This window comes from Homo sapiens, chromosome 3 (assembly GCF_000001405.40).
Source record: "Homo sapiens chromosome 3, GRCh38.p14 Primary Assembly".
In the NCBI taxonomy this organism is placed as follows: Eukaryota; Metazoa; Chordata; class Mammalia; order Primates; family Hominidae; genus Homo; species Homo sapiens.
Window position 1 is genome coordinate 194,226,973 of NC_000003.12, and position 16,908 is coordinate 194,243,880.

Genomic DNA, 16,908 nt, shown 5'->3' on the forward strand with positions numbered 1-16,908 from the left:
GCCTCGATGTTGGACTTCGCAGCCTCCAGAACTGTGATAAACTTCTGTTGTTTATAAGCCACCCAGTCCATGGTATTTTGTTACAGCAGCCCCAACAGACTAAGACAGAAAGCCTGGGTTCTAGTCAGAGGTAACAAACCCAAAATTAACAAGGCCAAAAGATAACTTCTGATTTTCTCCAAAACTCCATTTCTCATTCCAAAGCCCCAGCAAAAATTCTCCATCTTGAAAAATGTAGCACCAACATCCACCTAGTTACTCAGACCAAAATCTAGGAGTAATATCTGATTTGCCATAAATCTCACATCCCACTTTGAATTCACTGGCAAATTCTACAAGTCCTGCTTCCAAAATGTGTCCAACCTCTGACCCTCATCACCTTTAGAGCCCCAACCCTACTTCCAGGTACCATGATCTTGACCTTGTAGCTGGTCTCCCTGTCCACATACATGATGTGCTCTTTTCATTTTAATCACCTTGATCTTTCTGATATACCTCCAAAGCCATTCCACTTTACTTAGAATGAAGTGCAAACTTCTTTTTTTTTTTTTCCTTTGAGACAGCGTCTCCCTCTGTTGCCCAGTCTGGAGTGCAGTGGCACAATCTTGGCTCACTGCCACCTCCACCTCCCGGGTTCAAGCAATTCTCCTGCCTCAGCCTTCTGAGTAGCTGGGATGACAGGCACATGCCACCACGCCTGGTTAATTTTGTATTTTTAGTAGAGACGGGGTTTCACCATGTTGGCCAGGCTTGTCACGAACTCCTGACCTCAAGCAATCTGTCTGCTTCAGCCTCCCAAAGTGCTGGGATTACAGGTGTGAGCCACCATGCCCGGCCGAAGTGCAAACTTCTAATCATGGTCTACAAACCTCATGCAATCCAGCCCTGCCAACTTCCTCCTTTTCTGATCCTCTCCTTGCTATTTTCTTCCAAACATACTGGTCTTTTTGCTGTTCCTAAAGTATTCAGGTTTGTTCTCACCTCAGAACTTTCTATTCCCTCTACCTAGAAAGCTCTTCCCCAAATATTCATATTTCTTTGTTCAAATGTCACTATTTCAGTGAAGCCTTCACCAATCCTAGGTGTGATATTAATTGTATATGTCAATTTCACTGGGCCATGGGGTGCCCAGATATTTGGTCAAACATTTTCTGGGTGTGTCTGGGAGGGTGTTTTGGATGAGATTAAAATTTGAATTGATAGACTGAGTAAAACAGATTGGTCTTCCTAATGTGAGTGGCTTTCATCCAATCAACTGAAGGCCTGCATAGAACAAAAAGGTTGACTTCCCTTAAGAAAGAATTTTCTTCTGCCTGGCTTCCTTGAGCTGAGACATCAGTCTTTTTCTACTTTCAGACTCCAGCAGAATCATCTGCTCCTCCAGGGTCTTAAGCCTGCTGGCTTTTGGACTCCAACTTACACCACTGGCTCTCCTAGTTCTCAGGACTTCAGGCTCAGATTGGAACTACACTGTCTCCCTCCAGCTTGCTGGCTTTGTGGGACTTCTTGGCCGCCTTAATTGTATGAACCAATGCCTTATAATAAATCTTTCTCTCTCTCTATCTATACATGCACTGTTAGCTCTGTTTCTCTGGAGAACCCTAACTAATACACTAGGCAAAACCGTATCCCTCCACCCACCTCATGCAATTCTTCTTTATCTATTTCTTGACTGTTTGTGCCTGTCTCTTCTCAACCAGAATGGAGGCCCCTTTTTCATCACTGTATCTCTAGACGCATGCATGGCACACAGGGGGTCCTCAGTAAATACTGGTTGACTGACTCTTTTCCCTCATTAGCCATGTGACTTTGCACAGTTCATTTGACCTCTGAGCCAATTTCTTCACCATTACAACAGGCATGGCATCTTGTCTACGTAACACCAGGGCTGTTTGAGAGGATCCCCAGGCACACAGCTGTGAAAGTGCTCCTTACAAATGTAAGTTTTCTCCGTACTAAGGGTTGTGTCTCATTCATCTTTGCACCCCCATCCCCTCTTTCCCTCCCCTCCACCCTTCCCCCCACCCTCTACAGATGCTCAGTAGATGTTTATTTTCAACGAGTTAAATCATTCTATGGCTATCTCAATTTTAGTCAGTTACATCAGTTATGATGACACAAGAAATATCTACTCATCGCTGAATACCTTAATGCCTAAGAAACTTTGGTCAGAAAAGAATGAAAGGTAAAGTTGGGGGATCCATAGCATGAATTTGGTCATATCTAGTCTAACAAGATTAATAGGAAACTTAAAAAAGCTTTACGGTATACAATGAAATGGGCTCTCTCATTTGCTAATAAGCATGCAAATTGGTGCAACCACTTTGGAAAGCAATTGGACTATATCAAAATGTTCATACCATTTAAGTCAGCAAAGTCTCCCTATCCTAGATGTTTCCATGTGACACAGACTCTGATCTAAATATAAAAACAAAAACTATCAAACTTTTAGAAGAAAGCAAAGGTGTAGATCTTCTTGACCATGGTCTAGACAATAGATTTTTTAGATAGGATACCAAAAGCTCAAGCAACTAAAGAAAAAATAGATAAATCGGACCTCATCAAAATTTAAAACTTTTGTGCATCAAAAGACACCATAAAGAAAGTAAGAAGACAACCCACAGAATGGAAGAAAATGCTTGCATTTTCTCCATATTTCTGATAGGGGATTTTTATCCAGAATATAAACAGAATTCTTGTAACTTAAGAATAAAAAGAAAAATAACACAATTTTAAACTGTGCAAAGAATTTGAATAAACATTTCTCCAAAGAAGATAAATACACAAACATCCAAGAAGCACGTGAGAAGATGCTAAACATACTAGTCACCAGGAAAATGAAAATAAAAGCCACAATGAGATACCACTTCACACCCACTATGATGGATGTTGAAAAATTAAAAAGGAAAGTAGCAAGTGTTGTGAAAATATTGGAAAGCTTGCACAGTGCCGGTGGAAATGTAAAATGGTGCAGCCGCTTTGGAAAACAGAGGGGCAGTTCCTCAGAAGGCTAAACCCAGAGTCACCATATGGCTGGCAGTTCCACTCTTAGGTTTATCCTCAAGGTTGGTGAAAACATGTCCACACAAAACTTCTACATGGGCTGGGCGCGGTGGCTCATGCCTGTAACCCCAGCACTTTGGGAGGCCGAGGCGGGTGGATCACTTGAGGTCAGGAGTTCGAGACCAGCCTGGCCAACTGAAGAAACCCTGTCTCTACTAAAAATACAAAAATTAGCCAGGCATGGTGGCACACGCCTATAATCCCAGTTACTTGGGAGGCTGAGATAGGAGAATTGCTTGAACCGGGGAGGCGGAAGTTGCAGTGAACCAAGATCACGCCACTGTACTTCAGCCTAGGTGACAGAGTGAGACCTTGTCTCAAAAAAAAAAAAAAAAAACAAAAACAAAACTTGTACATGAATGTTCAGAGCAGCAATGTTTATAATAGCCAAAAGGTGGAAGAGAAGCTTTAAATGTCCATTAATTGGTGAATGGATAAACAAAAGTGATACATCTACACAATGCAATATTATTTGGCCATAAAAAGGAATCAAGAACTGATACCTGTGATAACATAAATGAACTTTGAAAATACTATGATAAGAGAAAGAGGCCAGACACAAAGGGTCACCTATTTTGTGGTTCCATTTACATGAAATGTTCAGAATAGACAAATCCATAGAAATAGAAAATAGATTAGTTGTTGTCAGGGGCTGCAGAGGGAGGAATGGGTATGGAATTTCTTTCTAGGGTGACAGAAATGTTCTGGAATGAGATAGTGATGATAGTTGTATAACTGTGAATATGCTGAAGTCTACAGCATCGTACACTTTAAAAAGTAAATTTTATGATACCTGAATTATATCTCAAAAAGCAATTATTTAAGAAGTGCTCATTGTAGCATTATTTATACTAGTAAAAAATAAAGTAGTCAAAATATCCTTTTATTAAAAAGAATATTAACTAATAATGAATTTATTTGTTAATTACACAGCCATTCAACTGTATCTATAAAATTTCATCATACCATGTAGAAGGATTATAAAATAATATTAAGTAAGATATAGTCACGACGATTTTTTTTTTTTTTTTGAGATGGAGTCTCGCTCTGTGGCCCAGGCTGGAGTGCAGTGGCGTGATCTCGGCTCACTGCAAGCTCCGTCTCCTGGGTTCACACCATTCTCCTGCCTCAGCCTCCCAAGTAGCTGGGACTACAGGTGCCCACCACCACACCCAGCTAATTTTTTGTATTTTTAGTAGAGACGGGGTTTCACCATGTTAGCCAGGATGATCTCCATCTCCTGACCCCGTGATCTGCCCTCCTCAGCCTCCTAAAGTGCTGGGATTACAGGCGTGAGCCACCGCGCCCACCAGTCACGACTCTTTTTTAAAGCATGTCTGTCTGGGTGTTTTTGTTTAAGTCTGGAAGAAAGCATACCAAACTTTTAACCAATGTTGGCTATAGGGAGTGAGACATGAATAATTTCTTCTTTTTTCTACTTTTCTATATTTTCTAAACTTTCTTCCAACATGATTATTTTTATTATTGTTATTTTTTTGAGACAGAGTCTCGCTCTGTCACCCAGGCTGGAGGGGCAGTGGCATGATCTCAGCTCACTGCAAACTCCGCCTCCCAGGTTCAAGCAATTCTCCTGCCTCAGCCTCCCAAGAGGTGGGATGACAGGCGTCTATCACCACTCCTGGCTAATTTTTTTTTGTATTTTTGTAGAGACAGGGTTTCGCCATGTTGGCTAGGCTGGTCTCGAACTCCTGACCTCAGGTGATTCGCCTGCCTCAGCCTCCCAAAGTGTATTCTTTTTATTTTATTTTGTTATTTAAAATAATCTTTCTGGGTTGTTTACCTGCTACGGATAAAGTGTCAGATTTTCAGCGTCTGGTGTTATGAAGATGAGTCCACCTCCCTCAGTGTGGAGGCTGCTGCTCTCTGGCGCAGCCACCTGAAGGGCAGGGTCCCGAGAGAACTCAGGCCCAAGGCCCTAGAGGGTGTCCCGGCTGCAACACAGATGAGTCCCGAAGAGACTGGCCCCCGCCCCCGCCGAGGCATCACCTTACAGATAGGGAGAGTCTTCTTTTCCTGTTTTAAATTGCAGTAGTTTTTTAAAATCCCTATTGTCATTTCAAAGGTGGCATGAGGCAGCTGGGTCCCCAGGCCTGTGTCTTTCCTTTGTCTGCCCCACGGACTGTTTATTTCCCTTCTGTCTCCAGTGGTCACCCTTTGGGCAGGGACACCAGCGATGTTGTTACAGGTGTTGGCTCTCTCTGGCCTCGTTTGCTCTGGAAAGGATTCTGGTGGGATCAAATGGCCCTGTGGAAACTCAAGCTGAATTGTCTTCATTTTCTATCATTTTATTTTAACATCCCAGCAGTCCCAGCCTGTCAGGGTCTCCACCGGCAGTCAGCCATTCATCAATTTAAAGCATAGCCGTAAAGTTCTGGAAAGCGTCCAACTCCACAGAAGAAATCAGTTCTTTTCTTCTCATTTTTCTTTGAAGGCAGGAAAGAATCTGCTCATCTGGATACAAGGCATGATGACTTTTGAGTCAGTCAGGAGCCTGCTTTTAGATAGTAATACTCAACATTTCATCCACAGGCCAAAACATTGTCCTGTGGAAGGTGCCAGCGCTACTACAAAACCAGTATTACAAGTGAACTTTTTGATTTCACAATAATTGTAGGCCAGGTGTGGTGGCTCATACCTGTAATCCCAGTAATCCCTTGGAGGCTGAGGTGGGAGGATCACTTGAGCCCCGGAGTTTGAGACCAGCCTGGGAAACATAGCAAGACCTCAACTCATTTAAAAGAAAGAAAAAGAAAAAAAGAAAAAAACCATCATTGTACGTGCTTATTTATTTATCACATTTCTCATTTAGTAATAACACTTATTACTTGACAGAAGGACTTTTCTTATATTAACTCATATAATTCTCTCAATAACCCATTATATTACACCCCATCTTACACATCAGAAAATCGAGGCACTGAGAGAAGGTTGTAAATGTAATCTTGTAAATGGAAGGTTCTAAAAAATTAGCCAGATTTAAGGATTAAATGAGCATTACAACTATATTAAATAATTTTTCAGGAAGACCTAGCTTCACTCTCTGCAGTGGAGGGATTTTGTTCTAAGTTGGTCTCATCTGCTCATGGCGATTCACTGGAGTGCTTCATGGGTTAGCAGAAAAGGGAAAAGAACGCAGAATGACATGCTCATCCCTTCTCTTACCAGCCTGTACCCAGCCATAGCAGGAAGATGAGACAATAGAGCAGAGAGTACCCCACTAAGGTCCAGTGGAGGTGCCAGGACCACCTGTGGAAAAGCCATTATTTTATAGAATTTCAGAGCCACCTATAAAACACAGAGAGGAAAAATGCTGAGTCACACTATGCAACCCCCATTGTACCCCATGGGAAAGGCACCCTGGAGCACCACTCCCCAGCAGACTGAAATGTGAATGGTGCCCTGTGGAGGTGTGCAATATGGATTTCTGTCCCTTGGTGATCTCAGGGAGGTCCTTTGAGATCCTGCAGAGGTAGCTGGAAACAACTGCCTGGTACACAACCCCAGACATTTCTGCCCCCAGCTTTTGCTTATGGCCTGTCTTCATGGTGACCAATGTCTCCTCTGCAAGAGAAGTGGAAGACTGGCCACCAGAAGCTTCCATTCTGCTGTGTGGGGTCTCCTAGAGAAATTTAGGAGCAAAATCCTCCCTTAGAACAAAATCATCCGCATCTGCTATTTCCCATTTCCAGATGTTTCTTACATTGATAAGCATCTCCCAAATGTTTCTCCTTGCATTGCTGTTCTTTTAAAAAAGTAAACATAAAAAGTTAAGGCACTGTTTCTCATGTTCCTCAGCCTTCTCTAAGCCAACCCTGCACAATGCTTTCTCACCCTACCTTTTCTGCATCCGAATGTCAAGAAGACTTTTAGGGGCTTTACTTTCCATGGTTTTTGTGACTAAATTAATAAATGTACTTTTTCATACTCTGTTTGCCCCCCAACCTCCTCTTCCTCGCCGTGAGGCAGGAATTGCTGTGCTAGGCCATTATTGCCATGATGTGGTCTTCAAAAACCTGGAGACTTTCCCCTAGGACATTCAGTGCTTAGTCCTATTATACCTCTGTCTGGAATATGCCACAGTTCAGAGTTATCTGAGCCACAATGAAAAGTGGCCTCTTATGGCTGGGCACCGTGGCTCACACCTATAATCCCAACACTTTGGGAGGCCGAGGCGGGTGGATCACCTGAGGTCAGGAGTTCGATACCAGCCTGGCCAACATGGTGAAACCCCGTCTCTATTAAAAATACAATAATTAGCTGGGCATGGTGTTGGATGCCTGTAATCCCAGCTACTTGGGAGGCTGAGGCAGGAGAATCGCTTGAACTTGGGAGGTAGAGGTTGCAGTGAGCTGAGATCGCGCCATTGCACTCCAGCCTGGGCGACAAGAGCAAAACTCAGTCTCAAAAAAAAAAAGAAAGAAAGAAAAAGAAAAGTGACCTCATATACCATCCAGTCAAGCTCGGTCTTATTTGACAAACATTATATCATTTATGCAAGTGTTTCAGATGCATCCCAAAGTGCCAGGAGGGCCCCTATTGCCAGAGCTGACTTCACGTGCACATCACCTGTGTTCACACAAGGCCCACATTTAGAAGGGCTCCGTATTTGGTTTAATGCCATGTTGATGTTATCTTGAAGTTCTTGATCATTTTTTAATAAGGGGCCCCACATTTCCATTTTGTCCTAGGCCCTAGGCATATCAGTCGCTGGTCCTGCTCACAGCTTCTGTTGCCACTCTCCATGCCCTGCCCCACGGTCCTCCTGCTCCACGATTTGGGAGCAGAGAGGTTTGGCTCCCAAAAGAACTTTGAGGTTTAGTTCCTGAAGTCTTTACATAATTTATTACTAGTTCTCTTTTTCCAAGGAGGAATCTTAGAAAAGTGACATCCCTGGAAGGTTCAAAGATCATTACCCCAGTTCCCCAGGGCTAGGTAGGAACAGCTCCAACTCTAAAACCTGTAGGAGGGGAACTGGTTTTTTGTTTTTTTTGTTTTTTTTTTTTTTCAGGAATGCGGGTGGTGGTGGACCGGAGTAGATATTTTGTAAAGTGGTGAAACTAAACAGTATCTAACAGATTGCCTTTATAGGACCATATTACTGTGTTCCTCTAGCACTGAAAGAAAGGTAAGGAGCTGTCATTTCCGGAAGGCCAAAGAGCCCTAGGCAGATGGGCCATTTTGCCTGAATCTAGCTTGGAAAGTACTGCCTGATGAGAAGACATAATTCTTACGTCTATAGGGAACCTTGAGACAAGAAGTCTGGATGTGAGTGACTGCACTAGCAGGCAAACCCCCTCCAAGATAAGAGAGGAATTTGTAGTTGATGCACTATTTTGAGATCACAAGAGGTCAGTCAGGGTGAGAATGCAGCATTTCAAAGTGTGTTGATGATAGAAGCCAAAGAGCCCCTAAGTCAAGGACTCTCCAAGATAGGACTGTCCTCTCTGGCAAGCACAGGGGTGACATTTTAGACAAATCATCTCATCTTTCTGGGCTTGGTTCCTCATTTCTAAATGGTAATAATATTAGTACCAACCACATGGGGTTGTTGAGAAGAATAAATTAGTTTTTACATTAAAAGCAATTAAAACAGTGGCTGGCATATTGTAAACACTCCAGAAGTCATGGTTATGATTCATATTACTATGAAGTGATGACTTCCTCACTAAATAGCAGGTACAGGTAAAGACTGAGTTCTCTAGATGCCATCTTGAGCCACTTCCCTTTTAGCCTTGCCCATCAGATAGACCCCAGGTGTCCCTAGTCCCAGCACACATTCTTTCCAGGTGGCATTCTAGATGCTAGGAAGAAGAGAGACTGATATTTGGGAGGCTGGATGGAGGAAAAGGACAGCACCTATGAAGTGTTCTTGTTGAAGGAGAAGAAGCTGCCAGAAGAGGACTTCCAGTTTCCATCCCAGCAAATAAGAAGCTTGGAAGTCGCCACACTATCCTAACAAAAAGTAAAAAGCTGGGCCAGGCACACTGGTTCGCTCCTGTAATCCCAGCACTTTGGGAGGCCAGGGCAGGCAGATCACTTGAGCCCAGGAGTTTGAGACCAGTCTGGGCAACACGGCAAATCCTTGTCTCTACAAAAAATACAAAAATTACTCAGGCATGATGGCGCATGCCAGTGGGCCCAGCTACTCCCGAGGCTGAGGTGGGAGGATTGCTTAAGCCTGGGAGGTAGAAGTTGCAGTGAGCCGAGATCACGCCACTGCACTCCAGCCTGGGTGATAGAGCCAGACTCTGTCTCAAATAAATAAATAAATAAAGTCTGAACAAACTGAAAAAGCAACAGCTCTTCTTAGATCCATAAGAGAAGAGAGGTTACAGGGCAAATCACTGCTCCCAAATTGAAGAGACAGGCAGGTGAATACAGAGAATCACAACAGACCAGAGCACAAACTGTGGGAACCAGGGCCAGGGTAGGAAAACCTACACTGTAATTGACTAATTACTGGAGGCTCAGTGTGGATAACTCTAAGAGTGAAAAACTCTAAGACCTAGTCATGGGGATGGGAGACTCCTACACGTTTGTGTGTTTTACCCCCAAGAGCTTGACCTGGTGCTCCCATTGAATATTGGAGAAAAATCCCTCATGTTTCCAGTACAGGGAGGGGGAAAGGAGCCATTTTGGAATACACCAAAACATTCTGTTCTTCTTAACAAGGTCTGCCCTCAAGAGAAACTATTTTACCAGTGCCTAAACTACTGGGGCTTTATCAGTACCTAACTGACCTGGAGGAAAGGAAACACCAAACTGGATCCCCCTCAAATCTTCCTGTCCCACCCACAGGAGAGGAGAGGGTACCGAGAAGCAGGTGTGACATTCACAGTCCAGAGGCACAGGCTCCCTAAGGGATTCAGACCAAATCATAGGACTGTGGAACACTTTCCCATTGCCTAATGCCTTACCACCACATCACCAAAGGCCCATTTACAACAGTTCCTTTTACCCAAGACACCATGCCAGGCTTTGAAGAAAAAGTTACAAGGCATACTAAAGACAAAACAACAAAGTCCAAACAGACAGAGCAAACATTAAAGCCAGATTCGGGTATGACATGGATGTTGAAATGATCAGACCGGGAATGTAAAACAGCTATGACTAGTATGCTAAGGGCTCTAATGGATAAAGTAAGCGGCATGCAAGAACAGATGGGCAATGTAAGCAGAGAGATGGAAATTCTAAGAACTAAAAAGAAAAAGAAACGCTAGAGATAAAAAACACTGTGACAGAAAAGAAGAATGCCTTCAATGAGCTTATTAGTAGACTGGATATGGCTAAGAAAATAATCTCTGAGCTTGGGTGTATTTCAATAGAAACCTTCAAAACTGAAAAGAAAACAGAAAAAGGACTGAAATAAGTAGAACAGACCATCCAAGAACTGCAGGACAACTACAAACGGTGTAAATGGGAATATAAAAAGGAGAAGAATGAGAGAAAGGAAAAGAAGAAATATTTGAAAGAATAATGATTGAGAATTTCCCTCAATTAAGATCAGATACCAAACCACAGATTCCAGAAGCTCAGAGAACACAAAGCAGGATAAATGCCCCAAAAATACACCCAGGCATATCATGTTCAAACTGTAGAAAATCAACAGTAAAGAAAATCTTGAAAGAAGCCAGAGGGAAGAAACATCTTATCCTACAGAAGAGCAAAGGTAAGAATTATGTCTGACTTCTCTTCAGAAACAAAGCAAACAGGAAGAGAATGGACTAAAATACTTAAGGTGTTGAGAGAAAACAACCACCAACCTAGAATTCTGTACCCTGCAAAATTATCCTTCAAACATGAAGAAGTAAAGACTTCCTCAGAAAAACAAAAATTGAGAAAATTCTTTTTCCAATACAACTGCCTTGCAAGACATGTTAAAAGAAGTTATTTAGAAAGAAGAAAAATTATACAAATCAAAAACTGGGATCAACATAAAGAAAGGAAGAGCATCAGAGAAGGAACAAGTGAAGGTAAAATAAAAACCTTTATTTTTCTTATTTGTTTTGTTTTTTTTTTTTTTTTTTTTTTGAAATGGAGTCTCACTTTGTTGCCCAGGCTGGAATGCAGTAGTGTGATCTCTGCCCACTGCAGCCTCTGCCTCCCAGGTTCACGCAATTCTCCTACCTCAGCCCGAGTAGCTGGGATTACAGGGGCACACCATCATGCCCAGCTAATTTTTATATTTTTATTAGAGTTGGGGTTTCACCATGTTGGCCAGGCTGGTTTTGAACTCCTGACCTCAGGTGATCCACCTGCCTCGGCCTCCCAAAGTGCTGTGTTTACAGGCATGAACCACCGTGCCTGGCCTTATTTTTCTCATTCTTAATTGATCTGATAGATATCAGTCTGTTCAAGATAATGATAGCATCAATGTACTTAATTGTATATGCTTACGTATAAGTGAAGTGAATGACAGCAATGATACCAGGGATGGAAGGGAGGAATTAAAATTATTTTGTTATCTTAGGTTACTTGTACTATCCATAAGCGATATAGTGTTGTTTGGGGTTTGTTTGTGTGTGTGTGTTTTAGATTTTTTGTTTTATTTGAGATGGGGTCACACTCAGGCCAGAGTGCAGTGGCGCCATCGTGGCTCACTCCTGGACTCAAGTGATTCTCCTACCTTGGCCTCCCAAAGCACCGGGAGACCAGGCATAAGCCACTGCACCCAGCTGGTATAGTGTTATTTGAAGTGGACTTGGATGAGTTGTAAATGTATATTGCAAACTCTAGGGCAACTTCTAAAAAAAAAAAAAAATTAAAAAAAACTGATATGCTTAGAAAGAAGAGGAAATGGAATAATAAAATGTTCAATTAAAACACAAAAGGAAGAAAAAGAGTAGAAGACAAAATAAGAACAAAGAACCAGGGCAACTTATAGAAAACAACAATAAATATGGTAATATTCATTCAGCTACATCAATAATCACTTTGAATATCAATGGCCTAAATGCACCCATTTTAAAAATAATTATTATTATCATTATTTTATTATTATTTTGAGACAGGGTCTCACTCTGTCACCCAGGCTGGAGTGCAGTGACACAATCAAGGCTCACTGCAGCCTTGACCCCCAAAGCTTAAGCAATCCTCCCACTTCCGCCTCCGGAGTACTTGGGACTACAGTGCGCACCACTATGCAGGGCTAATTTTTTATTTTTCATAGAGATGGGAGTCTCACTGTGGTTCCCAGGCTGGTCTCAAACCCCTAGATGCAAGTGTTCCTCCTGCCTTAGCTTCCCAAAGTGCTGGGATTATAGGTGTGAGCCACTGTGCCCAGCCTAAATGCACCCACTAAAGGACAGAGATTGTTAAAGTGAATTGAAAAACAAGACCTGATTACATGTTGTCTACAAGAAACAAACTTTAAATATAAGAATCCAGATAGATTTAAAGTAAATGTATAGAGAAAGATATAACACAGTAACAGTAATTAGGAAAACAAGGATATATTAGTTTTGGAAAGAATAGACTTCAGAGCAAGGAAAGTTATCATGGACAAAGAGGGCAATATACAATAATAAAGAGATCAATTCTCCAAGAAGAAATAACAGTCCTTAATTTATGCTCCTAACAGAGCATCAAAATAGGTGAGGCAAAAAGCAACAGAACTGCAAGGAGAAGTAGATGAATCCACTATTTTGGCTGGAGACTTCAATACCCTTTTATCAAAAGTGGACAGACCCAGGAGGCAGAATATAAGTAACAATATAATTGAAGTCAATGACTTGATCAATCAATTGGATATAATGGACATCTATAGACTACTTCATCCAACAACAGCAGAATACACATTCTTCTCAAGGTCACATGGAAAAATCACCTGAGGTCAGGAGTTCGTGACCAGCCTGGCCAACGTGGTGAAACCCCATCTCTACTAAAAATACAAAAATTACCCTGGCATGGTGGCACATGCCTGTAATCCCAGCTACTCAGGAGGCTTGAGGCAGGAGAACTGCTTGAACCCAGGAGGCAGAGGTTGCAGTGAGCCAAGATCACGCCATTGCACTCCAGCCTGGGTGACACAGCAAGACTCTGTCTAAAAAAAAAAACAAAAACAAAAACAAATAAAAAAACAAAAACAAAAAAAGTTCACCAAGATAGGATTCTGGGACATAAAGCACACCTTAACAAATTTAAGCAAATAGAAATCACACAGTGTCTGCTATCGGACCGCAATAGAATTAAACTAGAAATCAATAACAGAAAGATAGCTGGAAAATTCCCAAGTACTTGGAGATTAAACAACACACTTCTAAATAACATGTGAATCAGAGAAGAAATTTCAAAAGAAGTTTTAAAATATTCTGAACTAAATACAAGTGAAAGCACAGCTTATCAAAATTCGCAGATGCACCAAAACAGTGCTTAGGGGGCAAATTACAGCATCGAATGCAAATATTTAAAAAGAAGAAAGCTCTAAAATCAATCATCTAAACTTCCTCCATAAGAAACTAAAAAAAAGAAGAGCAAATTAAATCCAAAGGAAGCAGAAGAAAAGACATTAAACATTAGAGCAGAAATCGAGATGCAACTGAAAACAGAAGATTAACAGACAAAATAAAGAAAACCTGATTTTGAAGTTTGAAAAGCCGATACTTTGAAAGCATAAAGAAAATAAAAGACAGGCAAACTAAGAATAGAAGAGAGAGGACATAAATTGTTAACATCAGAAATGAAAAAGGGAACATCACTGCAGATCTTATGGCCATTAAAAGAAACTTGAAGGAATACTATGAACAACTCTATACTCACAAATTTGATAACCTAGATGAAAGAGACATTCCTTGAAAGACACAATCTGCTAAAATTCACGTGAGAAGAAATAGGGCAATCTGAAGGCTAGGCACAGTGGCTCACACCTGTAATCCTAGCACTTTGGGAGGCCAAGGCTGGCAGATTGCCCGAGCTCGGGAGTTCAAGACCAGCCTGGGCAACATGGCAAAACCCTGTCTCTACTAAAAAACAAAACAAAAAAAATTAGCCATGTGTGGTGGCACGTGCCTGTAATCCCAGCAACTCGGGAGGCTGAAGCAGGCGAACTGCTTTCACCCAGGAGGCAGAGATTGCAATGAGCCGAGAATAGGCCTATATCTGTTAAAGAAATTGAATAATTGAATTCACAATTAATAATCTTCCAAAACAGTAAGCACCAAGTCCAGGTGAGTTCACCGGTGAATTCTAACAAGCATTTTAAAAGGAAATTTTACCAATTCTTCACAATCTCTTTCAGAAGATAGAAGCAGAGGGAAAACTTCCTAACTCATTCTATGAGGCCAGCGTCACCCTAATACTAAAACCAGACAAAGATATTGCAAGAAAAGAAAACTACAGACCAATATCTCTCTTAAACACAGATGTAAACGTGCTCAAAAAAATATCAAATGAAATCCAACAATGTGTAAATTATACACCATGACCAAGTGTAATTTATCCAAGGTATGCAAGTCAGAGTCAACGTTCAAAAATCAGTTAATGTAAATGTAATATAAATGTAATGTAAAACCTATCACATCAACAGACTAAAGAAGAAAAATCACATGGTCATCTCAATAAATGCAGAAAAACAAGTTAACAAAATTGAATGCCCACTTATGGTTAAAAAAAAAAAAACGCTCAGTGAACTAGGAATAGAGGAGAACTTCCTCAACTTGATAAAGAATATCTACAAGAAACCTATAGTGAACGTCACACTTACTGGTGAGAGACTCAGAGCTTTTTTCCCACTAAGATCAGGAGCAAGGCAAGGATGTTTCCTCTCACCATGCCTTTCAACATTGTACTGAAAGTCCTAGCTAATACAACAAGACAAGAAAAGGAAATAAAAGCTATACAGATTGGAAAGGAATAAGTAAAACTGTCTTTGTTCACAGATGACATGATTGGCTATCTAGAAAATCCAAAAGAATCAACCAAATACTGTTGGATCTAATAAGCAATTATAGCAAGGTTGCAGGATATAAGGTTAATATATAAAAGTCAATTACTTTCCTATACACCAGCAATAAACAAGTGGAATTTGAAATTAAAAACACAATACCATTTATACCAGCACACCCAAAAGATGACAAGCTTTATTCGAGAAAAGCTACAAAACGCTGATGAAAGAAATCAAAGAACTAAATAAATGAAGGATATTCTATGTTCATAGATACAAAGACTCAATTATTGTCAAGATGTCAGTTCTTCCCAGTTGCTCTGTCGATTTCATACAATGTCAATCCCAGCAAGTCACTCTGTGTAAATCAACAAACTGATTCTAAAATTTATGTGGAGAGGCAGAAGACCCAGAATAGCCAATACAGTATTGAAAGAGAAAAACAAAGTTGGATGACTGTCACTACCATTTGCACATACAGCAAAGTGAATCTGGACACACACTCAACTGGACATGCACATACAACAAAGTGAATCTGGAAACACACTCAACTGGACATGCACATACAAAAAAGTGAATCTAGATACACACTTTACACCGTCCACAAGAAGTAACACAGTGGACCACAGACCTAAACATAAGATGTAAAACTGGGAAACTCCTAGAATAACATAGGAGAAAATGGAGATGCCTGGGTTTCACAATGACCTTTAGATACAAGACCAAAGCGACTATCCGTGAAAGAAAGAACTGATAAGGTAGGCTTCATTAAAATTGAGCATTTCTGCTCCATGAAAGACACTGTCATGAGAATGAGAAGGGAAGGTACACACTGAGAAAAAAACATTTGCAAAAGACGTTATCTGTTAAGGAACTGGTGTTCAAAATTTACAAAGAACTCTTAAAACTCAACAATAAGAAAAAGAAACCTGGCTGGCACGGTGGCTCACACCTGTAATCCCAGCACTTTGCAGGCTGAGGTGGGCGGATCACCTGAGGTCAGGGGTTCGAGACCAGCTTGGCCAACACTGTGAAACCCCATCGCTACGAAAAATACAAGATTAGTCAGGTGTGGTGGTGGCTGCCTGTAATCCCAGCTACTAAGGAGGCTGAGGCAGGAGAATCACTTGAACCCAGGAGGCACAGGTTGCAGTGAGCCGAGATTGCGCCATTGCACTCCAGCCTGGGCGACAAGAGTGAGACTCCGTCTCAAAAAAAAAAGAAAGAAAGAAAAAGAAAAAAAGAAACCTGATTAAAAAATAGACGAAGACCTTAACAGACACCTCAGCAAAGAAGATACACAGATGACAAAGCATATGAAAAGATGCTCCACATCATATCATCATATGTCATCAGGGAAATGCAAATAAAATCAACAATGGGATACCATTACACGTCTGTTAGAATGGCCGAAATCCAGAACACTGACTGCACCAAATGCTGGCAAGGGTATGGAGCAGCAGAAGCTCTCATACATTGGTGGTGGGAATACAAACTGGTACAACCACTTCCAAAGACTTTAGCAGTTTCAAAAAAAGTAAATATACTCTTACCATATAATCTAGCAGTCATGATCTCTGAAATTTCTCCAAAGGAGTTGAAAACTTATGTCCATACAGAAACTTGCATACAGATGTTTATAGCAGCTTTATTCATAATTGCCAAAACCTAGAAACAAACAAATGTCCTGCAGGAAGTGAAAAGACAAACCGTGGTATTAATACATCTGGACAATGGAATGCTATTCAATGCTTAAAAAAAAAAAAGAGCTAACAAGCATGAAAAGGCATGGAGGAACTTACATGCATATTATTAAGTAAAAGAAAGTAATCTAGCCTGGATGTGGTGGCTCATGTCTGTAATCCCAGCACTTTGGAGGCCAAGGTGGGTGGGGAGGTCACCTGAGGTCAGGAGTTCGAGACCTGCCTGGCCAACATGGGGAA

General features: G+C 41.3%; 1 long non-coding RNA gene across 1 annotated transcript in view, besides 2 other annotated features; it reads right to left on the reverse strand.

Annotated features, from left to right (window-relative positions):
• Positions 1–16,908, reverse strand: part of LINC02036 (long intergenic non-protein coding RNA 2036) — a 47,138-nt gene that overhangs the window by 23,957 nt on the left and 6,273 nt on the right. The window lies entirely within an intron of this gene.
• Positions 4,506–5,007: an enhancer, noted in NCBI's record as "H3K4me1 hESC enhancer chr3:193949267-193949768 (GRCh37/hg19 assembly coordinates)". NCBI's record gives its function as "activates a minimal SCP1, AML or CMV promoter by ChIP-STARR-seq in naive H9 embryonic stem cells {active_cell/tissue: H9 hESC(naive)}" and the evidence as "EXISTENCE:reporter gene assay evidence [ECO:0000049][PMID:30033119]".
• Positions 5,008–5,507: an enhancer, noted in NCBI's record as "H3K4me1 hESC enhancer chr3:193949769-193950268 (GRCh37/hg19 assembly coordinates)". NCBI's record gives its function as "activates a minimal SCP1, AML or CMV promoter by ChIP-STARR-seq in naive H9 embryonic stem cells {active_cell/tissue: H9 hESC(naive)}" and the evidence as "EXISTENCE:reporter gene assay evidence [ECO:0000049][PMID:30033119]".